Here is a 25,949-nt window from a genome sequence, read left to right as displayed (position 1 = left end):
CCATTGCACTCCAGCCTATGCAACAAGAGTAAATCTCATCTCACCAAAAAAAAAAATAAAAAGTATAGTATTGTCAAAAGACAAAATCACAACACATTTAAACATGATTTGATTGGCTTCTATTTGTGATTCTAGAACCGAGCAACACTTCATTCTTTAAAATAGAATGAATATTCCACCGGGCAAGACAGAACAGTTGGTTTTTATAAGGTGGGAACAAGGAAGTGACAATTGTTCAAAAAGTGAATTTGTTAACATTGGGTTATTGCATTTTACTTTTCTAGTAAGTGTCAAAGCAGTAGGGACTTATTGTGCTGATTCAGATAGGCCACGCTCTTTCTGATTGGTTGCTGTGAATCTCCTGTTTTCAGGAGAAACTGGTTTGTTTGGGGATTTACCTGCTTTACTTTGCATGAGTGACTCCATTTTAATTTGAACTGGTCTGCTGGGGTGTAGTGCAGGAGGCTAGTCCAAAATAATGTCCTCTCAAAAAGTCTAACAGTTTATTTTAGGTATAGAATTAATATGTGGCTTCTTTCATAATTCAGAAGAGACTGTAAAGAGTCTTCATTTGAGAAGGTAACAGGTTATTCTTAAGATGAATAAGGAAACTTGTTTCTGTGGTGACCATGACAAAAAATATAATACTTGTCATGTTGATTTTAATAATTGTATGTCCTCTTGTTCCAACTCAGACCCCACTGGAATGAATTCTTTAGTTCTTTGCAAGTTTTTGGCTGTCCTAAAAATCTTTTATACTGTTTATTACTGTAAAGAAGAGGACAACAAATCTAGGCCCTAGGTATTTTGTAGTACATTGTGATGTATTACTGTGTTTCATCTGCTTTTGATAAATAATAGGTTTAAGAAACACATGGTAAATACATTTATAAATAAATAGATTAGTAAGCATTGGGCATGAAAGAGGTTGGATGATGATGTCTGAGTTCCCTATATTTAGTAAATCACTTATTTAATATCCTCTTAAATTCACATGAGGTTACTAAGATCTGGAGAAGTTAAGTAACATGCCTTAATATTTGGCCCTTGTTGTATTTCCACATTTGTCTTAAATCCTTTGGAGACCGTGCATCCCTGCCAGTTAGATCGTTATTTTAACACAATTGCTACTACTGAGAATAGTATGGTTTGCATGATTTGAACAGAGACCACATGGCCATGTCTAATGGCTAATTGCCTGTGAAAGGCTGAGCAGGCAACATCATAATTTTCTTTGTCTCTGCTACTGATTCTGGGTTTATTTTTATCGGTAAGCTAACTGTAAGTGTTATGTTAATTGCTTGTGTTTTGATCACAAATCCTGTTTAGAAAATATCTTTTTAGTAAATGCACTTAAGCAGGAGATTCTGATTTGAGTCACTAGATCTACTTGTTGAGTGATAACTTTTCTCAGGGCATTTGGAGGATGGAGTGTCAGGGGCCAAATGGGGATTCTTTTTCCCAGCCTTCCTCTGGGTAGTGACTTTTGGCTGTCTCTCCACTCTGTACTATGAAAATTGGACTTTTTGACTAGATACTTAAATAAAATGTAAATAATTACTGGACTCTAAGTGGAAGCAATTATTTTAGCACATGAAATTTTCGGTTCTGTATACTTAAAGGAAATCCTGTGACAAGAATCATATTCCAGATATATTGTTTAGCTTTTCCTTTATGTGACTGATGTTAGAAATTGAGTATGTTCTTAACATTTAGAAAGGAGTTTGCAGAAATATGCCCATACAGTGAATATTATTGTTTACAAATTGTCTGTTGAAAGATGATTTAAAAACAGTTAGAAACAAGCTAGTTGCCATAGCTGTTTTTCCTACCTTGATCATTTTTATCCTGTTGTCTTAGAAAAATTAGAAAAAATATATTACTGACACAAGTGGATAATGGCTTCAAAGTACATCACGGACATTTTTACCTTTAAATAGTATAAATGACTTGAAGTCAGTTTTGCTCTTTTAAGATCGTGCAATTTTTATTTATTTGGGGAGTTTTATTTGTTTATTGTGGGTTGATTTGTGATGTTTCATCCACTGTCACATGGCTAACATCACTGTTTCATAGAGCATTGGTAGTTCATTTGGAGCATTTCATTGGTTCACTTGTTACATTTGGTTGGTACAGTTATACATCATGTTTAACATCTGTCCAGTTAATATGGCTTTTCTAGACTTTATGTGGAAACATTTGACAAATAAGGTAACTGAAAACAAATAGTTTGATTTAGAGATACTTGCCATTTCCTGTGTTCAGTAAATTTTGTTGGTAACAAATGCATATTTTATAAATTGTAAATGTTTTATACATAAGTTGAAATGGTTGATATATGCTTGCTAATTAAATGCTCTTGTGCCTGGTCTTGGTGGCACTTGCCTCAAGGATTGCTTGAGTCTGGGCATTCTGGGCTGTAGTGTACTAAGCCGATCTGGTATCCACACTAAGTTTGGCATCAGTATGGTCCAGGCTGCATAAGGAGGGGTGAACCGGCCCAGACCAGAACCAGAGCAGGTCAGAACTCCTGTGCTGATCAGTAGTGGGATCGTGCCTGTGAATAGGCACTGCATTTCAGCCCAGGCAACATATCAAGACCCCTATCTGTTAAAAAAATGGATGGATGGATAGATGGATGGATGGATGAATAAATAAATATGTTCTTCTGTAGTAAAAAAAGAATTGAATTGTCTAACTAGAAATTTGTGTTGATTTGGATCAGGAGTGGTTCCTGCGTTTTAAATTTGAGATGTTCTTACCAGTATTTTGAGGACTCAGAACGGTTAATGTCTATAGTTTATAACTAATCATTAAAATAGGGCGACAAAGGCTGGGCACAGTGGTTCATGCCTGTAATCCCACCACTTTGGGAGGCTGAGGCAGGAGGATTACTTGAGCTCAGGAGTTCAAGACCCAGCCTGGGCAGTATAGTGAGACCTCATTGCTACAAAAATTGTAAAAAATTAGCCAAGTGTGGCGGCACCCACCTGTAGTCCCAGCCACTTGGGAGGCTGAGATGGGAGGATTGCTTGAGCCCAGGAAGTGGACGTTGCAGTGAGCTGAGATCACGCCACTGCGGTCCAGTGTAGTGAGACTCTGTCTCAAAAAAAAAATAAAAAATAAAAAGAGTGAGATGGGGGACAAAATCTACCACCTTAAAGCTTTGTAAGTATCTTATTCCTGTTAAGAGGAAACTATGTATACTATAAAATATAAATGTCAAGGGGCTTTTGCCAGCTCAGTTTTTCCTGAGTCATTCTTCAGGTATCTACTATTAGTACAGTGACTACAGATATCAAATCACTTGAATGACTTAAATCAATATTGACTCAGGGTAGGAAGTTCTCAGATTTCCATAATTTGAATAATTGATCCTTTGTCCCTTATTTTTAAAAAATATTCTGTATTTGAAGATTATAAACTATTTTCTTTTTCTTTTTCTTTTTTTTCTTTCTTGAAGCGGAGTCTTGCTCTGTTGCCCAGGCTGGAGTACACTGGAGTTCACTGGTGTGATCTTGACCTCACTGCAACTTCTGCCTCCCAGGTTCAAGTGATACTGCTGCCTCAGCCTCTTGAGAACCTAGGATTACAGGCACCTGCCACCACACCTGGCTAATTTTTTGTGTGTGATTTTAGTAGAGAAGGGGTTACACCACATTGGCTAGGCTGGTCTCAAACTCCTAACCTCAAGTGATCTGCCCGTTGCAGCCTCCCAAAGTATTGGGATCATAGGCGTGAGCCACTACGCCTGTCTTTATTTTATGATAAAGGTTGAATATCCCTAATCTGAAAATGAGGTGCTCTAAATCTGAAACTTTTTGAGCACCATAACAGTCAAAGGAAATGCTCACTGGAGCATTTTGGATTCCAGATTTTTGAATTAGGGATGCTCAGCTAGTAAGTATCTAAGGCAAATATTAAATATTTCAAAATCTGAAATCTAAAACACTTCTGTTCCTAAGCATTTTGGATAAGGGATACTCAGACTGTGCCTCAGAATTAAATATGACATATATGTGCATGTCTATGTTTTAATGAATGCCTCAGTACTTAAAAAGGAACCTAAAGCTGAGCATGGTGGCTCTTGCCTGTAATCCCAGCACTTTTGGAGGCTGAGGTGGGCAGATCACTTGAGGTCAGGAGTTCAAGACCAGCCTGGCCAACATGGTGAAGCCCCTTCTCTACTAAAAATACAAAAATAAGCCGGGTGTGGTGGCGTGCACCTGTAATCCCAGCTACTCGGGAGGCTGAGGTTGCAGTGAGCCGCGGATTGCTTGAACCCAGGAGGCAGAGGTTGCAGTGAGCCAAGATCACGCTACTGCTCTCCAGCCTGGGCTACAGAGCAAGACTCCTACTCAAAAAACAAACAAATACAAAAAAAGGAACCTAAGCCCTGGGAACACTAAAGCCATGTGAGTCTGAGTTGGGGGCAGTTGGTGGTAGTGGTGGGTAATATGGTAAGGAGATCACTGAAAAATTTTCTTCACAATGTTTTTTGAGGGTTGAAGGATAGAGAGAGGGTGTGGAATGGGGAGAATTCTTAGTAACTTAAGATAATGCTGTCTGTCAATGCTACACGCATGGTTTCCCATTATTTTAGACTGGAATTTCAGATGCCTTTTTAAGGAATGCTTAATTATGATTCTTATCTTGGGAAACCTTTAAAAAATTAAAAATGCTTCGTATGTTTATTAAAAAAATTCAAAAGCGTAGATTATTTTAAGTAAAACTTGATATTCCCCAAATAGCACTCTTTTCTGGCCAGTTTAGTGTGATTCCATACATACAAGTAAATGTGACATGAAGATGTAGATACCATGTTGATATGTGTGTGCACGTGTGTGTATGTATATAAACATGTAAAATACAGGAAATACCTTTACATATTTATGTGTAACCTTTTTTCAAAATGTAACATGGGTGTTAATTGGAAGCATTTGAAACATTGAGTACGGAGAAGGATTTGGTGACGCCTGTAATCCCAGCATTCTGGGAGGCCGACTGGGGTGGATCGCTTGAGGTCAGGAGTTCAAGACCAGCCTTCATGGCGACTCCCTGTCTCTACTATAAACCCAAAAATTAGCCGGGATCGTGGTATCATGCGCTTGTAATCCCAGCCACTTGTGAGGCTGAAGCAGGAGAATCATTTGAACCCAGGAGACGGAGGGTATAGTGAGCCGAGATGACGCCACTGCACTCCAGCCTGGGTGACAGAGTGAGACTGTGTCTCAAAAAAAAAAAAAAGAAGATTTGGAATTGGAAAATTGCCACTTAATTAACTGGTTTTATGTGGTTCTTGGTTTTTTTCTTGTTTCTTCCTAGAAACACTTAAAAAGGCAAATCTAAAGTGTGCACCATCATGTGAGTAGAAGGCGAAAGATTTATACCATCTGAAGAAAAACCAGAGTATTGATCACCATTTTACAAGGATGCTTTTCAGAGGCTGAGTTTAATAGTTTTATTCTGAAAAATCCCATACAGTCCAATTAACAGGAATTAAAAATGATCTCAAATAAAAATCATCTCATGTTAGAGCTACAAAGAGACTTAAAGATCCTGTTAGGCAGTGCTTCATGTTTTAGATGAGGAAACTAAGGCTCAGAGGTGTTAATGAGTAAGGTGTCATAGCCAGGCATAGATTTTAATCAAGTTCCCTTTCTACCATATCATGCTAGTTCTCATTTCTTGCTATCACATATGTTGGTAAAGTATGAGATAATAAAACTCTTACTGAAGAAAAGTGAATGCTCTATTAATTTTATTCATAAATGGCTGTTTTTAAAAAGGGTAAAAGGAGAATAAACCATTTTGCCCCATCTCTGTTTAAGACTCTGGGTATTATTAGTGTTTCTCAATGTTTTTTCCTCTGTTTTTTTCTTTCTCCTCCCCTAAAGACGGTTTTTAGCCTTTTTACCCCCTAATTGCCCCCATTAAATTTTGTATCTGTTTATGTATTGTAGCCTTTTAGCATCAATTTTTTTTTTTTTTTTTTTTTTGAGACAGAGTTTCGCTCAGTCACCCAGGCTGGAGTGCAATGGCGCGATCTCGGCTCACTGCAACCTCCGCCTCCTGGGTTCAAGTGATTCTCCTGCCTTAGCCTCCTGAGTAGCTGGGATTACAGGCACCCGACAATCATTCCTGGCTAATTTTTATAGTTTTAGTAGAGACAGGGTTTCACTGTGTTGGCCAGGCTGGCCTTGAACTCCTGACCTCGGGTGATCCACCTGCCTCAGCCTCCCAAAGTGTTGGGATTACAGGCCTGAGCCACTGTGCCCAGCCTTAGCCTCACTGTTTTTAATGATAAACTTAAATCACAGCCGCTGAAAGCATCCGTTTACAATGGTGATGTACACATTTATTTTCATCTTTTTAATTATTTCTGGATTTTAAAAGAAACAGAAATAAAAGGAAAACCGAAAACTGCATAAAATCCCTTAATCAACTGGCAGTTAAATCCTTTTTTTTTTTTTTTTTTTTTTTGAGACGGTGTCTTACTCCTGTTACCCATGCTGCAGTGCAGTCATGCAAACATGGATCACTGCACCCTCAACCTCCCAGGCTTGAGCAGTCCTCCTACTCAGCCCCTCCCTCACCCCCCCACCCCAAGTAGCTGGGACCACAGCCATGTGCCACCATGCCCCGCTAATTTTTAAAATTTTTTGTAGAGATGGGTTCTCGCTGTGTTGCACAGGCTGCTGTTGAACTCCTGGGCTCAAGCAGTCCTCCCACCTTGTCTTCCCAAAGTAGCTGGAATTACAGTTGTGAACCACCACGCCTGGCTTCTCAAGTTCTTCAGTGAACCCAACTTTTTAGATGTTTTTAATTAACGTCCATGATATTTTGAAGCAAAGGTGTTTTTTTGTTTTTCCCTCCCCTTGGGGGAAATGTCATTTTACTTGAGAGTGCATGGGTTTAGAGCAAGCTAGAATGGCAAAATATATCTTAACTGTCTTTCAAAAAGATGAGCTTTAACTTTACCTTCTTGTGTTTATTGCAGGCTTTCTTAGAAATGGCTTCTGAGGAAGCTGCCGTTACTATGGTGAATTATTACACTCCTATTACTCCTCACCTTCGAAGCCAGCCTGTTTATATTCAGTATTCCAATCACAGAGAACTTAAGACTGACAATCTACCTAATCAAGCTGTAAGTATTAAAGATGTTTTTAAAAATAGGTATGGGAACACATGGTATGATAACTTACATACTTTACAGATGAAGAAAAATTATGTGCTTTTATTCATTTTAGGATACTTTACTAGTCATAATTGTATATGTAAATTCTTCCCCCCAATTCTTAAGAATAAGAAAGCAGTGCCATTTAGAAATAGAAGTTAATTTTTTCTCTTGAAACTGTTTTCACAGTAAAAAAGGAGAAAAAATATTTATTGTTATGTACATCTTAAAATCTCAGATCTGAAAGGAACTTAATCATTCATTTCAATCATCTTTTTACAGACTCTAACAAAAGCATTGAGAAATTGAGTGAATTAAGTAATGGAATTTAACACCTTAATAAAAAATTTTTAGAATTGTTTATTAAATGATTTTTGACTCCTCAAGATGAATGTGAAATGTAGCATAGCAATATTTCTTACCCATTTTTCTGTTATTTTGATGTAGCACACGTTGAGTCTTTTGTGTCTTCCCATGTTGATTTTTAAGTGGTTAAAAATAGTATAATAATTTGAAGTTATTTAAGGACAGAAAATCTTTATACACAAAGTAAATACATTTTAAGAAGGTGGTTTTTGGCCGGGCGCGGTTTGGGAGGCCGAGGCGGGTGGATTGTGAGGTCAGGAGATCGAGACCATCCTGGCTAACACAGTGAAACCCCGTCTGTACTAAAAATACAAAAAAAATTAGCCGGGCGTGGTGGCGGTCATCTGTAGTCCCAGCTACTCAGGAGGCTGAGACAGGGGAATGGCGTGAGCCTGGGAGGCGGAGCTTGCGGTGAGCCGAGACCGTGCCACTGCACTCCAGCCTGGGTGAGAGCGAGACTCTGTCTCAAAAAAAAAAAAAAAAAGAAAGTGGGTTTTTTTAAAATTATGATTTTAAGGGCATGTTTGGCCTCTGTATTCTTGCTCTAGGCAAAGAACTCCTCCAGCTCTCTGATTTTGTGTTGAAAGGCAGTATAATGTTAGCTGGTGAGATTTGTTTTCCACATTGTTTGAAACAGCGACATTTACTGCATATAATCCTTAACTTATTTTAGGCAATATTAATGGCATGTAATAAACTATATAAGCTTACAATAAATACAATATTAGATGAACAGAATAGACTTTTTAAAATGAAAAATTGTCATTACAAGTTGTACATAGGATACATGCTTTTGGTACACCATTCAATCAAGAAAAGTAAAAGAGAAAAGAACCAAAACCAATCCAGTTACCCAGAGATAACTAATAACTAGTGGTAATATTCGGTGTGTATTCAGATGTCTATATATCTAATTTTACACAAAATGTTTTGAAATCTTTTTTTGTGTAATGTTATGGACATGGGTTTATTACAACAAATATAGCATTACCTCATCAGCTTTAAATGACTATAATACTCCCTTTTATAGGAGAATTATAATTCGTCCAATTTCTTTTTGATATACACTGAAGTTGTTTCCAGTGTATATTCCAATGCAGCATATTCCAATCCAATACAATGTATATTGCCGTGGAAGACAATGTGTATTCCAATGTATATGTATGAAATTGCTGGGACACAGCATGTACATATTTTAAATTTTGGTATATGTTGCATGATTGCTTTCTGTAGAGATTATGTGCTTAGAGTGCCACCAATATAATGGATGAGCAAATGAGTAATAATATCTTATGTTTTACTTTTATTTGATAATTTGTAAAATACTTATACTGATTTCTGTTAGTGCCATTTTCCCCATTTTTTATTGTAGTAAAATATACATGACATAAAATTTACCATTTCAGCCATTTTTAAATGTACAGTTTAATGGCATTAAGTACACTCACATTGTTGTATAGTCACCACCACACTTAGTCTCTAGATGCCATTTCCCATCACCTCAAACTGAAACACTCTATCCATTATACAGTAACTCCCTATTCCTTCCTCCCTCCCACCTCTGGCAACTACCATTCTACCTTCAGTCTCTATGAATTTTTAAATACATGGTCAAAGCTCTTAGGATGTCATAATACAATCTTTTCTGACTTCAGTACCATGCTCAGAAAGATCTAGTACACCAAGATTAAAAAAAGAATCTACATATGTTTTCTTCTAATACTTCTGTGTTGTAGTTGTTCTTATTTCTATTAGGAATTTTTTGGATGTAGGAATGAGGGTAAGGGTTCAGTCTTTTTTTTACTCCAAGAGACCAGTTTCTCCTGCATTATTCTTGAATAACTCATTTATTATCTACTAATGTGAAACTTGTCCTTTGTCATATATTAGTTTTCTACACACACTCTATGCCTGCTGATCATATGTACACACACTCATGCACAGTCTCGTCTAACATGCTTATACGTTCTGCTTGCATGTCTTGTTCTACCCTCATGTGTGTGCTGCTCACATGCTATGCATTCTATGTTTAACCTTTACTACCTTTTGAATTCCAAAAGCTTGGATTCCATTTCCACGTCTGTGCCCTAAGGCTTAATTTTTTGTTGTTGTTGTTTTTTGTTTGTTTTTGGAGACAGAATTTTGCTCTTTGTCCAGGATGGAGTGAAGTGGCACTATCTCGGCTCACTGCAACCTCTGCTCCCATCCCCCACCCCCCGCCCGCCGGGTTCAAGCGATTCTCCTGTCTTAGCCTCACGAGTAGCTGGGAGTATAGGTGCTAGCCACCACGCCCAGCTAATTTTTGTATTTTTAGTAGAGACAGGGTTTTTCCATGGTGGCCAGGCTGGTCTGGAACTCCTGAGGTCAGGTGATCCACCCGCCTCTGTCTCCCAAAGTGCTAGGATTATGGGCGTGAGCCACTGCACCCGGCTCCTAAGACTTAATGTATTGCAGAGCAAGATCTTATTTCTTACTCTTTTTTCAGAAATTAACTGATTAATATATCTTGCGTATTTCTTCAGATAAATTTTGGAATTATTTTGGTAACTCCTGTCCCCCAAAAAACACACTTGGAATTGGGTTGATGTTGTAAGTTAATTTGAGATAATTAATTATGCACATTAATTATATTACTCTGATTCTTTTAAGAAGAAAGTTATATTTTGTTTGTTTTCTTTTATGTCTTTCAGTAGAGTTTTTAATTTTCCTTCATGTAAATCCTGCAGTTTTCTCATTAGTGTGATTCCTAAATATGTTACTATAAACCTTGAAGGGAAAAAACAATTTAATAAATCTTAAAAGATTAGATTATTCCAAAGAGAAAGTGAGAAATCCCAGTTGCTTGGCAACCAAAGCCAGCCTAAATGACCTAGTTTATTCTGAGATAGCCTTCATTTCTTCCCAATACTTTTTCCATCTTGTTGCTTTTGTACAACTTTTATGCATTGATGTTTGATAAAATGCAATAATTTTTTAAAAATTCAAAGTCCTACATCAAACCTAACGTCCAACTTGCAGATACCTGTTTGATATTTTTAAAGTACTGTAGTATCTTTTTATTCTGACATTCCCAGAAAGCTGATAGATGAGTGTTTCATTCCTTTTTGTTCTCTGAATAGCAAGCTATCCCAAAATATGCACTTTACTTTTCCAGTTTATGATTGTACTTGCCAGAAGGTCAGGTGAATATTAAGTGTTTTGTTTCCTTGATTTAAACTAAAGTCACAACTGTAAAATTTAGGTCATATTCTGAGATACAGCATTTGAGAAATGGTCGTGTTAATAGGAGTCATTATTGTATGCAGCTTTTCTTGACCTTGTGGATGAAAGTTTATAAATCTGCCATGAGATGACCATAGAAGGATTTTCTCTAAAAAACAATCAAACTTAACATTTAAGATCTGTGCATTTTTATTGTATGTTAATTTTCTTCTTCTCAATCTGAGAAATACCTTCTTTACATTTTCCAGGCATTTTAAAATTTTACATGAAGTATACATTTCTCCTTATCCCACATTAAATTTGTTTTCCTGATCATACTACTGCTATTATTTCCTTTATTAATTTAACTATTCCAAAGAGTTTGTTACCCAAACATTTAAAAATTATTTCCCATAATAGGAATTCTGCTCCTTCATAATTTTTAGCATCAGACACACTTTTTTTTTTTTGAGACAGCACCTTGCTCTGTGGCCCCAAAGTAATAATAGTTGCTTTAAATTTTGAGACAATCACAAACTTAGAAAAAAGTTTCCATTATGGTACAAAGGAGTTTTGATTTCTTGAGGCTTTTGAGAATAAGATGCCACTCTGGTCCTTCTTTCCTGTCCAATATTTTTAGCCTGCATTTCCTACAAACAAGAACATTCTTCTATCAACCAGAATACAACAGTCAACATCAGCAAGTTATCATTGATACATAAGTTCCCTCCATTCCTCATACCCCATTTATGTTTTGCTAATGGACCCAATAATATTTGTTTATAGCAAAAGGATTCAGTTAGAATCACATTTCCATTTAATTGTAATGTCTTTTTAGTCTCCTTTAGGGCCTTTCATAACCTTGACACTGTTGAAAATTATAGGCAATTTATTTTCAAGAATGTCCCTCAGTTTGAGTTTGTCTGATGTTTCCTTGTGATTCAATTCAGAGTATCTGTCTTTGACAGAACATCACAGAAGTAATGCTCTTTTCATTGCATTATAAAATTTCCATTTGTTGTGTTAGTAATGATGGGCTCTTTGATCACTTGATTAGGGTGGTGTTTGCCAGCCTTCTCCACTATAAAGTTGTTACTTGGGGGAAAAGTAGTATTTTGTGGGCAGGTACTTTAAGACTATGTAAATACACTGTTCCTTATCAGCTGTTGATTTATATCGGTATGGACTAAAGGTTTCCTATGTTATTTGATGGATTTTCTGTTTTTAACAGTTGTTATTATTTTGATACACAGATTGTCCTAGATTTGGCCAGTGCAGGCCCCTTCAAGCTGGTTTCTATGTCCTTTTGGAATATCCCTATCATTCTTTGAACATTTCCTTGCATTCTGATCAACGCTCCCTCCCCCTGCCCCAAAACAAAAATATTTTATACTCTTCTTGTGATTTCTGGGCCCCAGTTCTGGAATCAGCTATTCTTTTAGAGTGCCTTGGTCTCTTTTAGTGGAGAATATTTAGAAGTTTGTCTTGACTACCCTTGTTTGGGTGTAAACATCCCATGCCATAGTCTTTAATGTTGCTTTCATATTTCTTCCCCCATTGTCTTTAAAAAATTAGGAAATAAAAATTACATCCAGATTTTCTCCTTTTATCCATGTGTTTTTATTCTTCAAGTAAATTTAAGCACCTTTTAAAAATACTGTGTCATTGTGGTATGCAGGGAGGTGTTTGACTGTTGACTGATTACAAATTTAGGATATGTATCTCCAGACGGAGTAGATAAATCTTGTTTTACTTAACTACATTGCTTCATACTGTTTTATGTCAACTAAATTTTAGGATTCATATAATGCGTCTGTATAATCAAAAGTTCTCATTTTGGGTTGTTCTATAGCGAGCCCAAGCTGCACTGCAGGCTGTCAGTGCCGTCCAATCAGGAAGCCTGGCCCTTTCTGGAGGTCCTTCCAATGAAGGCACAGTCCTACCTGGGCAGAGCCCTGTGCTTCGAATAATTATTGAAAACCTCTTTTACCCTGTTACCCTGGAAGTTCTTCATCAGGTAAGGAGGAATAAATACCCTTAAGAAAGTTAAGTTAAATATGGCCTCTGAAACTTTTGATGTTTTATATCTAAGTTGTTTAGCTTATTGGTTTTGTTGATATATTTGTTTAAATAATGAAAAAAACTTCATCTAATTTCATAGAAATTAGAGGTAATTTTTTGACAGCCTCCTTTTTCTAACTTGAATACATAATTAAAAAGGGTGTAAAAAGTTTTGATTTTTTTTTTCTTGTAGGTAATCATGAAAATAAAGCATAGAATATTGTGAAAAGTCCAGGTAGTAGTTGTTCCTTAGAAAGTAATGTCACCGTTGAGTACAACTAATTTATTTCTGGACAGCTTCTTACCTTTGAGTATTTCTGATTTAAAAATTCTAAAGGGAAAGTGTTCAATAAGTCTTCATGTGTAATATGAATATACCATGTTAAATATTGACTGATGCCCAACCTAAGCTTCATACACTACCCATTGCTATATCTAAGTTGTCTTGATAAAAGAAATCATGGCAAGTAATATGTAGAATTTAAGAATTGAAGGTTACTTAGTTTCACAATTTTGTAGTGAATAAATCCAAAACCCAAATAATTGATAAGTATAGAATATTGTAGAGCGTAATTGAAGAGCCAATTAGAATTGAAGCTTCCTGATGTAATTTCCCATGTTTTGTTTTTGAATGGTTGTTACATTTTTAACTAATACTTCATATATACATATCCTAAGAATGTAATATACAGTTATCTGGTAATCTGTGTATATAAATATTTGACATATAGCCCCAAAATTTAGTCAGCTTTTGTCCTCTTTAGCTATATGTTGATTTCATTTCATTACACTTAGCCCACATATTAAAATACTGCAACACTTCCCTTGCTTATTTTCATTTGACAGAGTCATGCCTTTGGATTTGTAGTATGTGCAGAGTCATAGAGGTGTGTGTGTGCTTGTATATGTAAGAATTGAAATACATCTTACTCTAGGCTCACATTTTACGAATAAAGAAGCTAGGGCCCTTAGAAGTTCGTTTACTTTCCCACAGTCCTTATACCAATTGGCGATAGAGCTCAGACACATTTCTCAGTAAAGTGCTGTGCCATGCATGTATATATTAAAACATGCCATTGAGTAGGCGTACTGGGTTTCCCCTTTGATAGTTTTCTGAGTACCATTTTTAAAACATATGCATTTGTGAAGCATGTCCTAAACAGGATTCTAGCAATGGTATCCAGAGCCACGGTTGCTCTCTGAAAGGGTTCAGCTGTTGCTTAAGTGATTGGTTTCATTGTTCTTGTGGATTTTCTTCTCTTCTGTTTATCCCGGAAAGTGGCATTGAAGACTAATGTGATCTTTAGCAGTGTTTGTTCCGGGGTTGCTACTGTAACATTGTAGCTATTGCTTTTATAAAAGATGTTCTTATGCCTATGTCCCAACACTGCCATCAGCCAGCAGCAAGTTTAGCTACAGTCATGTGGTCCTGTCTTATAATTTCATTTATCATCTCCCTAACCACAGTAACAAATTTTGTTTTTCCCTCAAGAGATCATGGTGACCTTCAGGTGAAGAGGACTAATTCTGAGTGTCCTCAGTAGCAAGTGCTGGGGTAGGACACTCAGCCTTTCAGTTATAGCACTCACTTTTTTAACCCTCTTTTCCAGTGCTATTGAAATAAAACCAACTCCTTATGAAGGCCCCCAAATGCAGACTTCTCCCCCATCTCTTTATCTTCATTACCTAACACTCTTCTGGTTATTTAGCACCTGTCTTTTCTGGCACTGTCTCTCTCTCCCTACCTCCCTTCCCTATTCCCCTGCTTAGTTCTGTCCTTAGTCCATTTCTGTCTTGTATTTCTTAGGCCGGGAACACTGTTTACCCAGGTAGTCACCTGGCAGGATCGACATCATTGAACTCTCAGCTCAAATGTTACCTCCTCAGGGAGCCTGAATCTAATTACATTAAACAAGCCCTCTCCCCTGGCATTCTATCCCATCAGCCAACTAAGAGCCAGTCTGGCATAGCAGTTACAGATACAGGGTCTAGAGGTAGTTTGAATCCTGACTCTACTGCCTCTATAGCCTTGGGCAAGTAACTTACCCCTTCTATTTTTGTTTTCTTTATAATGAAGATGATGTTCTCTCTCATTTTTTATTGCGAGGATTATATGAGTTAATACATTTAAAGTACTCATTAAATAGAACAGGGCCTGATACATATTAAGTGCCCAAGAAGGGGTTGGGTGTGGGGGCTCATGCCTGTAATCCCAACACTTTGAGAGGCCAAGGCGGGTGGATGACTTGAGGTCAGGAGTTCAACTCCAGCCTGGCCAACATGGTGAAACCCTATCTCTTCTAAAAATATAAAAAATTAGCCGGGTGTGCTGGCATGTATCTGTAGTTCCACCTATTCTGGAGGCTGAGGCAGGAGAATCACTTGTACCCAGGAGGCTGAGATTGCAGTGAGCTGAGACCACCTGGGCAGCAGAGCAAGACTCCATCTAAGTGCCCAAGAAGTATTAGCTCTAATGATCAAATGCTAGTAAAGAGCAATGTAAGAAACTAGTTCTTTCTCTTGTAGTCTTGTGGGTAAGACACTAATTTCATAAATAATGGCATAAGATGTGGTGAATATTATGGTAGGGGAATATACAGAAGTATGGAGTTGGTTGTACCTGTTATAACTATTTAACGAATTATTTTATTATATTCTTTGCTGAAAATTGGTCCTGGCTCAACTGCTATCTAACATCTATAGAAACTAATGTTCCTTTAGCTCATGGTAAGGGAATTGAGAGTGACTGAAATGGGATTGATGCTATTTTAGATGAAGGAAGTTAGGGAAAGTCTTTGCAATATGATATCTGAGCAGAGGCTTATAGGATGTGAAGATATAAGTTATATGTGTATGTGGAGAAATAATGATCCAGTCCAAAAGAACAGCAATGTAAGGTGCCTAAGGTGGAAGTATGCTTGTTGTGTTCAAGTATCAGAAAGAAGGCTGGTGTCACTGGAATAGAGAGAGTAAGAAAGCCCTATGCGAGAGGGCATTAGAGCAGTGGTGATGCAAAGCTTTTATAATTTCTTATATTGGGTAAGATGGGAAACCTTTGGAGGATTTTGAATGGAACAGTGAGATTATATCATTTATGTTTTAGCAGAATCACTCTTGTTGCTATATTAAGAATAAACTGGCCAGGTGTGGTGGCTCACGCCTGTAATCCCAGCACTTTGGGAGGCTGAGGCCAATGGATCATCTGAGCTCAGGTGTTCAAGACCAGCCTGGGCAACATGGCAAAACCCCATCTGTACCAAAAATACAAAATATTAGTCAAGGGTGGTGGCACACACATGTAGTCCCAGCTACTCAGGAGGCTAAGGTGGGAGGATAGCTTGAGCCCGGGAGGTGGAGGTTGCATTGAACCAAGATTGTACCACTGCATTCCAGCCTGGATGACAGAGTGAAACCCTGCCTCCCCATCCTCCAAAAAAATAAGCTGTATAGGGTTAAGTGGAGGCTCTTGTCCTACTTCAAGTGAGAGATGATGGTGGCCTGGGTGAGGGCATAGGCACTGGAAGTGGTGATTATGGATTTTTTTAAAATTAGAGATAGGGTCTTGCTATGTTACCCAGACTGGCCTTAAATAAACTCCTGGGCTCAAGAGATCCTTCCACCCTATGACAAGCTGGGGCTATAGTTACGGGCCACCTACACAGGCTTCTGTGGATATATTTTGAAAGATTTGCTGATGGATTGATTAGATGTGGTTCTGAAGAGAAAGGGAGTAATCAAGAATGCCTCCCAGATTTTGGACCTGAGCCTCTGGTAAAATGGAGCTAAGATGTAAAGACTGAGGTAAGTAAATAATAGTAATAATAAAAAGACAAAGACAAAAAAAGATTTGGGGCAGGGGTTGGAGGTAGGCAGGAATCAGGAGTTTGATTTGAACATGTTAACTTAAGAATACCTATTAGATATTCAAGTGGGAGATGATAAATGGGAATTAAGTCTGGATTCAGGAAAGAATTCAGGCTGGAGATTTGGGAACCTTCAGCGTAGGTGTGGTAATTAAAGCCATTGGACTGGATGACATCATCTCAGAGTATTTGTAGATAGAATTCATCAACTGATTCATTATGTAAATGCTCAGTCCTGCATACTAAAAAGTGTCATTGTGCATGAAAGAAGTAGCTCATAACGATGTTCTCATGTAATCCATTACTTCTGAGTACTGTTATACATGGGAATGGTTTTTGAGTGTCCAATAGATAAATCTCTTCTGGACAAAGGACCAATCTTTTTGAATTGTAATAAAGATAAATAACTTACAAAAGCTAGGCATTATGGTACTAAATAAAAGAATCCTAGTAATATGAAATTCTGGTTCTTAAATCATGTTATTTCATTGGCTACAAAAACTATTATAAACAAGTTGTGGCCAGTGTGCTTGATACTAAAAAAAAATTCTAATGTGAATACACTTTTTTTTTTTTTTTTTTTTTTTGAGATGGAGTCTCACTCTTATAGCCCAGGCTGGAGTGTGGTGGTGCAATCATGGCTCACTGCAACCTCCGCCTCCCGGGTTAAAGCAATTCTCCTGCCTCAGCCTTCTGAGTAGCTGGGATTACAGGCGCCCACCACCACACCTGGCTAATTTTTGTACTTTTAGTGGAGGAGGGATTTCGCCATGTTGGCCAGGCTGGTCTCGAACTCCTGACCTCAGGTGATCTGCCCACCTTGGCCTCCCAAAGTGCTGGGATTACAGGCATGAGCCACTGCGCCTCGCCATGAATACACTTTTTACAAGTGAATACTAGTGGACATTTTCAGTTTCTGACAAATTCTACCTTTATAAAAAATCACTCTGAAGATGAATTTTATCAGAATTTGATCTTTAGTATCTTCTTAGTCCTGTGTTACAGTCTGAAAATATTAAAATACACAGGAGGTATATAGAGTTGAGTATTTGTCCATATTTTTGACAGCAAAATATATTAGGGAAACAGAGTAAAAGACCTTATAATTCATAAAAATAGATTCATATATATATCAAACCTTCCTGAATTTTAATTTTTGATACCAAATCTGTTTAAAATTTGCTATTTTGATAATTATGAAAGGGTGTTAAAAATCACACCTCAGGCATTCCTAGATTCCCTGATGTTGGTGCCCAGTTACTTTATTCAGAAGTATCATATCGTTTTTTGTAGCTCCTCTATCAGTGAATACAATCCAGGGGACTAGAGTGCTATTGCTGGTTAGCCCATTCAGGCAAGTTCTATTCTCTTAGCACATTCAGATAAAAACCACACAGCAAAACACCAAGCTGTCCCAGGATGTGCTTTAGGCCATTGTTGAAGTTAAATGAGAAAAGGAATGTAAACATTAACAAAATCTGAAAGGTGAGTGGAAATTAGGTTTTATAGCATAATTTAGTATAAAAATTTTCCAAATGTTAGAGCAAATTATGTGTTTTCCTACTCCTTCACTAATGATATATTTTACATCAAGAATATTTATTATTTTTTGAAATTGCTGACTTCCCTTGGGGTGAAAATAAGTATTTTTTTAAAAAGAAAAAATGAAAGCTTTAAAAAAAGGGAAAAAAAATTACATATTGCCAGCTGGGTGCAGTAGCTCAGGCCTATAATCCCAGTACTTTGGGAGGCTAAGGTAGGAGAATCGTGTGAGGTCAGGAGTTTGAGACCAGCCTGGGTAAGGTAGCGAGACCCCATCTCTAAAAAAATTTAAAAATTAGCCATGCATGGTGGTATGTACCTGTAGTACTCTGGAGACGAAAGCAGGAGGATTGCTTGAGCCCAGGAGTTCAAGGTTATAGTGAACTATGATGGCGCCACTGCACACCATTACGGGTGACAGGGTGACCCCATCTCTTAAAAAGGAAAAAAAAATTGCATATTGCTATAATTCTCCAACCAGGTCTAGATATAATTCTTTATCAATTAATAATAAGCATTTTAGTCTATATCTCTTACATGTCAGGAATTGTGCTTAATGATGCAGAAATGATTAAGACAAGGTATATTCCTTCAAGGAGCCTTCAGTCTAATGAAAGGAGACAGTTATATAAATAAATATATAGTACAGTAGAAGTACAACAGCAAGATAGATAAATATATATATATATATGTATATATATATATATATATATTTTGTTTTTTTTTTTTTTGAGACGGAGTTTCTCTCTTGTTGCCCAGGTTGGAGTGCAATGGCCCGATTTCAGCTCACTGCAACCTCCACCTCCCAGATTCAAGCGATTCTCCTGCCTCAGCCTCCTGAGTAGCTGGGATTACAGGCATGCACCACCATGCCTGGCTAATTTTTGTATTTTTAGTAGAGATGGGGTTTCACCATGTTGGCCACCCTGGTCTTGAACTCCTGACTTCAGGTGACCCACCTGTCTCAGCCTCCCAAAGTGCTGGGATTACAGGCGTGAGCCACTGTGCCCAGCTGATAAATATTTATATAAAACCAAGAAATAGATACAACTCAAGAAAAATAATTCTATAGGGATTTGGGGGAGGCTGAGAATTTTATGGTGGCATTGTTCCCTGAGCTGAGTTTTGGAAAAGATAAATGAAGGCTTACTAGCTGTTAAAACACATTTCTAGGAAAACAAAAAATCCTCATATATGGGCCTAGAGGTCTGAAATCACTTGGTAAATTTGGAGAACTATAGGCAACTACATATTGTTGATGTAAATAGAGTAGTGTTATACAAGAAGTGTCAGGAAGTGAGGTTTGAGAGATAAACCAGGGCAAGAGTGTTATGTTATATGAAGGAGCTTGGATTTTACCCTGTATATAAAGGGGAGGTAGTAAAGGATTTTCAGTACGGGAAAATATAATCTGCCTTATAATTTAGAACGCCACCTGGGCTGTAGTAATGAAGAAGGGAGGTCAGACAATTTGTTATATTACACCCCCAACCTTTTTTTTAAAGTCTAACGTTACTCCTTTATTGAGAGAAAACATTGAGTTGCTGCATGTATAATACATACATTGATTCATGTCTTGCCATAAGTGATTCAAGTGGCAAAATATATATAACATGAATTTTACTGTTTTAACTATTTTTAATTGTATAGTTCAGTGACATTAAGTATATTCACATTGTTTTTCAACCATCACCAAATACCATGTTTCCAGAATTTTTTTCATCTTCCCAAACTGAAACTCCCTTTACCCATTAAACGGAACTCTTTATTCATCTACTCTCCTAGCCCCCAGTAATCACCAGTCTATTTTCGGTCTCTGTGAGTTTGACTACACCTTAGGTTCCTCATGTAAGTGGAACTATGCAGTATGTGTGCTTTTGTGACTGGCATATTTCACCTGGCATGATGTCTTGAAGGTTCACCCATATTCAGAATTTTTCTCCTTTTTGAGGCTGAGTAATATTCAGTTGTATGTATATAGCATATTTTATTTATCCATTTATTCATTGATGAACACTTTGGTTGCTTCCTGTTTTGGCTATTTTGTGTAATGCTGCGATACACATGGGTATATGCATATCTCTTTGAGTCCCTGTTTTCAATTTTTTGGCTATATACCTAGAAATAGAATTGCTGGATCATATGGTAATTCTATTTTTAATTTTTTAAGGAAAGGTCATACTTTTTCCATAGTGGCTGTAACATTTTACATTTCTACCAACAGTGCACAGGGGTTGCATTTTCTTCATATCCTCCCCAATATTTTATGGGTTTTAAAAAATTTTATAACTATCCTAATGGAAGTTAGGTGATATGTAGTTTTGATTTGCATTTTTCTAATGATTAGTGATATTGAGCATCTTTTTGTGGGCTTATTGGCTATTTGATTAGCTTCTTTGGAGAAATGTCGATTGAAGTCCTTTGCCTATTTTTGGGTTGCATTGTTTGTATTGTCGTTGAGTTGCATGAGTTCTTTATCTGTTCTGGATCTTAACCCATTATCATATACATGATTTATTTCACTCTGTTGATAGTTTCCTTTGATGCACAAAAGTTTTTAATTTTGAGGTAGTCCAGTTTATCTATTTTTCATTCATTACCTGTGCTTTAGAATATTCTTTCTTTCATGTTTTTTTAACCACTAGACTACCAGGGAAGGATAGTTATTCTTGAGCATACTTTTTGAGAATTAAAAAGCAGGGCCAGGTATGGTGGCTCACACCTGTAATCCCAGCACTTCGGAAGGCCAAGATGGGAGGATAACTTGAGCTCAGGAGTTTGAGACCAGCCTGGCCAACATAGTGAGACCTCATCTCTATAAAACCTTAAAAATAAAAAATTAGCCAGATGTGGTGTAGTCCCAGCTACTTGGGAGGCTGAGATGGGAGGATCGCATGAGCCTGGGAGGTGGAGCCTACAGTGAGCCATGATTGTACCATAGTGGTTGGTAACAGCAAAATCTTACCAGCATAGGGAATACTTAACTTTTTTAATCTCAAAAGCAGAACAAATTCTTGTTTTAAGATTCAAATTTAAAATGGAGTGAATATTAGTTCATTTTCACACTGCTATAAAGATACTCCCTGAGACTGGGTAATTTATAAACAAAAGAGGTTTAATTGACTCACAGTTCTGCATGGCTGGGGAGGCTTCAGGAAACTTACAGTCATGGCAGAAGGCGAAGGGGAAGCCAGGACCTTCTTCACATGGTGGCAGGAGAGAGAGAGTGCGCAGGGGAAACTGCCCCTTTTAAACAATCAGATCTCTTGAGAACTCCCTATCACGAGAACAACAAAGGGGAAACTGTCCCTATGATCCAGTCACCTCCCACCAGGTCTCTCTTTTGACATGTGGGGAATCACAATTTGAGATGAGATTTGGGTGGTGACACAGAGCCAAACCATATCAACAGAGTAAAACTAAATATGTTGTTGTTTTATCCCCCCTATTTAGTCCTTCAGAAATGAGTTACTATTAATAGTAACCCTGGCCGTGAACCCTGTGATGCTGAGGTAGCACACGTATTGTGAGGATATTGGTGTCAGGAAGCCTTCCCCTCACTCTTTTCTTCTCAAAAGACACTTCAGAAAGGCCTTCTTTGGCCACCACTCTTGCACTGTCTCATCTTGCATTCTGGTTCGTGCTCACCCCTTCCCTTCTTTTATTTTTATTCGTAAGACTTCTAAAAATCACCAGATATTAGGATATTTGTCATTTGTTTATTGTCTGCATGTGGGCATAGACTTTTGTCTCTGTTTTGTTTACTGCTGTCTTTCCAAATATTTGGTGAATTAATAGAGCAGCCTCTAGTTGAACATCTTCTAGTGGCTACAGAAATCTCAAAAAGTAGATGATTCTTCACAGGGTGAAATAGTTGGTCCATGACTCCCACTTTTATTCATATGCTTTGTAACACATCTCATACCATTGATTATTGTAGTCTCCTATTTTAATACTGTACCATTTATATATCCCATAAAATAGGCTAGTTATTTAAGTGCCTGTTGTGTACCGGGCGTTGTTGTAAGATAGTCATGGGTATTGAAATGTTAATGTTTTAGGCTTAAGTCATTTTGGTACCAAAGTTTTCAAGAGAAAATTTTCATTTAAAAGGATTTATGAACAAGTTGTATTTATAAAGATACATCAGTTTAATACTTTTCTTTTACATTTAACCTAATGTGAACTGTTTTCCAGATATTTTCTAAATTTGGCACAGTCTTGAAGATTATCACCTTTACAAAGAATAATCAGTTTCAAGCCTTGCTTCAGTATGCTGACCCAGTAAATGCACATTATGCCAAAATGGTAATTATGATCTTTGTTTCATTTTTCAATTGTTAATCACTCCAGTGATACCTTCTCTTGTGCCCCACTTTACCATGTGTTTTTAAAAAAATTGTGGCAAAATATACATGTTTACCATTTTAGTCGTTTTAAAGTGTATGATTCCATGTTTTTTTTTTCTAAGCTAAAAATCATTACTACTTCATATGAAACGGTCTCAAATCTCCTATCACCTCTCACATCTCTGAGACGCAGGTCCTGTTTGTCATGTTTAAAGTCTAGAATTGAACACAGTACTCCTCACATAAGCTGACTAATAGAGCCATCATTACCCTCGTGCTTTCATTTACTTCTCCCATCCAAGTACTAACCAGGCCCGACCCTGCTTAACTTCTGAGATCAGATGAGATCAGGTGCATTCAGGGTGGTATGGCTGTAGACCATTTACTTCTGTTAAATCAGTCAGAGATTGATTTCACCATTTTTGCAGCTGTATTCAATGTTTATTCCTGTTGAGCTCTAAATTGGTGGAGATACTAAATCTTAGGAAATATGCTGCTATCAATTCGTGTTGTCTTTTTTTTTTTAGTACACGAAAACCTATTTTGACAAGAATAAAACTTGACATTCAGTTCGATTATCTTAGACATACCTCTTGTTGATATCTATCCCTGACTCTAATTTCATCTTGTAGCAGTTTTTGCTAGTCATTTCTACTTTTTGGTCAAAGATGAGGACTATGGCTTGTGGTACTTTTGTGTACCACACAGTGTCTGGCACTCAATTGGGAGTATAGCCTTTATATTTGCTGTACCCTGAACATGCATATATTATTTTGTACCTTTACGATGGCATACTTGTCAATTACCATTATTATAAATCAGGATATATATATATATGTTTTATTTTTATGTGATTTGCTTTCTGGTATCTATTTTTATAAATTCAAGCATTTGTGAAAGTCGTTAAGTGGCCACAAATACCCTTAGGTAAATTTTTATTCTTGCAAAGGAAGGGGTTGCTAATCTTTGGTTACAACTGACTCCACATTTTCCTCAGTTTATTATTCAAAGTATTACAAAGTAAATTTACAAGAGAAAAAAATAAGTGGTAGGTAATATTTTATGTATTGTGGCTCTGACAAGTACCATTTACAAAAGCTTTGTTTCATCCTAACAAAGCTTACACATCCTAGTATAATGTGAATTATACTAAAATGAATTAAAGTGGAATGTAAAATCAGAGTATCTTAAAACTTTTGATATAGGCAAAATAATCATAATAATAGTGAACATTTCTATGATAGACAGTAGTTTTCCAATCTTTTACATTTCTCCTCTCTTATTTGATCTTACCACAGACAAGATAAATATTATCAGTCTTATTTTACAGATGAAAGCTGAGACTTAGAGATTTTCTTTTTCTCTCTTAGGCTCATAGTTAATGACTGTGAGGTAAAAGTAAACCCAAGACTTTGGCTTTTTAGTCAGTGCTTTCTGCCTTACACCTGATTGCCACTCTTTGTCAAAGTAGAGGCTTCTTGGTTATCAGTGTTGTTGTCTTGCCAAAACCAGTCCCTTTCTTACATGCTTTAGGCTCTGGATGGCCAGAATATCTATAATGCATGCTGCACTCTGCGCATTGACTTCTCCAAGCTCACCAGCCTTAATGTGAAATATAATAATGACAAAAGCAGAGACTTCACTCGCTTAGACCTTCCTACTGGTGATGGCCAGCCATCCCTTGAACCCCCTATGGCTGCTGCTTTTGGTGAGTAGTTCTTTTTTGGGTCACAAAGCAAGTTTTCTGAAGTTACAAGTTTCATTTATTAAGCCATGTATGTTTATAAGCCTTTTTCTTCTCGAGTTCTCTCAGGATTTATAAAGGAAAGCAAGAATCCTAGAACAAAGTATACCCATTAATTAAATATTAATATTAGGAGGTTCTGTTAGTTGACAGATGAATATCTGAAATTGAGTTACAAATTTATTTTCTAACATTGATATTACTCATTCTTTAAAAGCCACAAACCATTTGCTTCAAATTAGTAGTCTTATTAACATTAACTTAAATATGCTAGTTTATAGCCATAATAATTTTGCCATATATGCTCTTGAGAAAAATACTTTTCCTTTTTTAAGTAGTGATATTTTATATCAAGCTTAAATTAATAGTATGATCTTTTATTCAAAGAAGAGGATTTATTTTGTTTTGTTTCCTAAACTTCAGAACTTCCAGCTGTATCTTAAGCTTGTGTGAAGTTGCATTTTGCATTAGTAAAAATACAGCCTTCTAAATTGTCTCTGCAAATTGTAGCTTTGAAGAGCCTCCCTCTTTTATTTAAAGTAAACCTCTTAAGGAAAAAGCAATGGATGGCCCAGTTTGAATATCTTATTAGGTTAGTATATGCTACTTTTGGTTTCACAGTTCTCAAAAGTGTGGTTTATTACTTAAAGTATTACTACCTTTTGTGATTGATTTTTCCTTTTCCAAATAACACCGTAAAATATTGCTAATTGGGACTTTAAGTAGTATTTAGTTCATCATGTTTTATAGGTGAGAAAATTAAAAGAATTAAGACAATCAAATTATAAAATTAAGACAACCAAATGATTGTCCAAACCCTTCTGAAAAATAGTTCATTATTTTAAAGTAAAAGCTTTTTTATTATTTTTAATTTAAAAAGCCAAGGGAATGATTCAATGCATCTTTCTAATATTGATAAAATGTCTGTTTTGGGTTCTTTGACCAAATTTTTGTGTTTTGTATTTGTTACCAGCCCCTAACTTACTTATCTGATTTGGCAGTGACAAAGGTCTTTTGTCATTACCATTTTAATAACAAATGATAGAAATATTTGGTGCAAAAAAAAAAATACTGGGGCAAATTAAAGTTTGCCAAAACTCAGCTATCAAATTTAAGAATTCACTTATTCTAATAATTGATTATATACTCTTGGTGCAATTAATGTTCTGTATTATGAGAGGAGGACATTTTAAAAATATGTTAAGAATTTTGATTTCTGAATATAAAATATCAGAATGTTCATATCCTTTCTCATTAATGTTATTAGTAAATCCTTAGTCACTGCAAAATAATGTCTACATCCTGAAAAAGTGATTCATCAGAGAGAGAACAATGCACTTTATATATTGTGTGAAAGTTTCTCTACTTTGCCTATCACTAGTATTTGACACAGTTTCACTATTCACTTCTTTTTTCTTTTGGCCTCTGAAACACCACTCTCCTTACTTTCTTCCTACTTCACTGGCTGTTCTTTCTCTTTTAAAGGTTTCTCTTTACAGTTTCTAGGGCTGAGTCATAAGCACTATGTCCTTACTTTTAGTGACATTTGTTATACCTATAGAAAAGCTTATAAAACACGTAAGTATATAAACACCCATGTGACTACCACCCAGGTTAAGAAATAAAATATTTATACATACTGAAGA

At 36.7% G+C, this 25,949-nt stretch overlaps 1 protein-coding gene and 2 pseudogenes across 18 annotated transcripts in view; 2 read left to right on the top strand and 1 right to left on the bottom strand.

Annotated features, from left to right (window-relative positions):
* Nucleotides 1–25,949, top strand: part of PTBP3 (polypyrimidine tract binding protein 3) — a 162,168-nt gene that overhangs the window by 104,687 nt on the left and 31,532 nt on the right. For all 18 annotated transcript variants that reach the window (XM_047424272.1, XM_047424274.1, XM_047424273.1 and 15 more), the window contains 4 exons: nt 7,001–7,147; nt 12,597–12,761; nt 22,408–22,518; nt 24,093–24,267. In XM_047424272.1, the coding sequence (XP_047280228.1) occupies nt 7,001–7,147; nt 12,597–12,761; nt 22,408–22,518; nt 24,093–24,267 (598 nt within the window). The remainder of the gene's footprint in view (nt 1–7,000; nt 7,148–12,596; nt 12,762–22,407; nt 22,519–24,092; nt 24,268–25,949) is intronic.
* On the top strand, nt 2,359–2,600 carry RN7SL430P (RNA, 7SL, cytoplasmic 430, pseudogene; annotated as a pseudogene).
* RNA5SP295 (RNA, 5S ribosomal pseudogene 295) lies at nt 22,818–22,938 on the bottom strand (annotated as a pseudogene).

This window comes from Homo sapiens, chromosome 9 (genome assembly GCF_000001405.40).
Source record: "Homo sapiens chromosome 9, GRCh38.p14 Primary Assembly".
Lineage (NCBI taxonomy): Eukaryota > Metazoa > Chordata > Mammalia > Primates > Hominidae > Homo > Homo sapiens.
The sequence above is the reverse complement of the archived record's forward strand: the minus strand, read 5'-3'. Positions and strand labels throughout refer to the sequence as shown.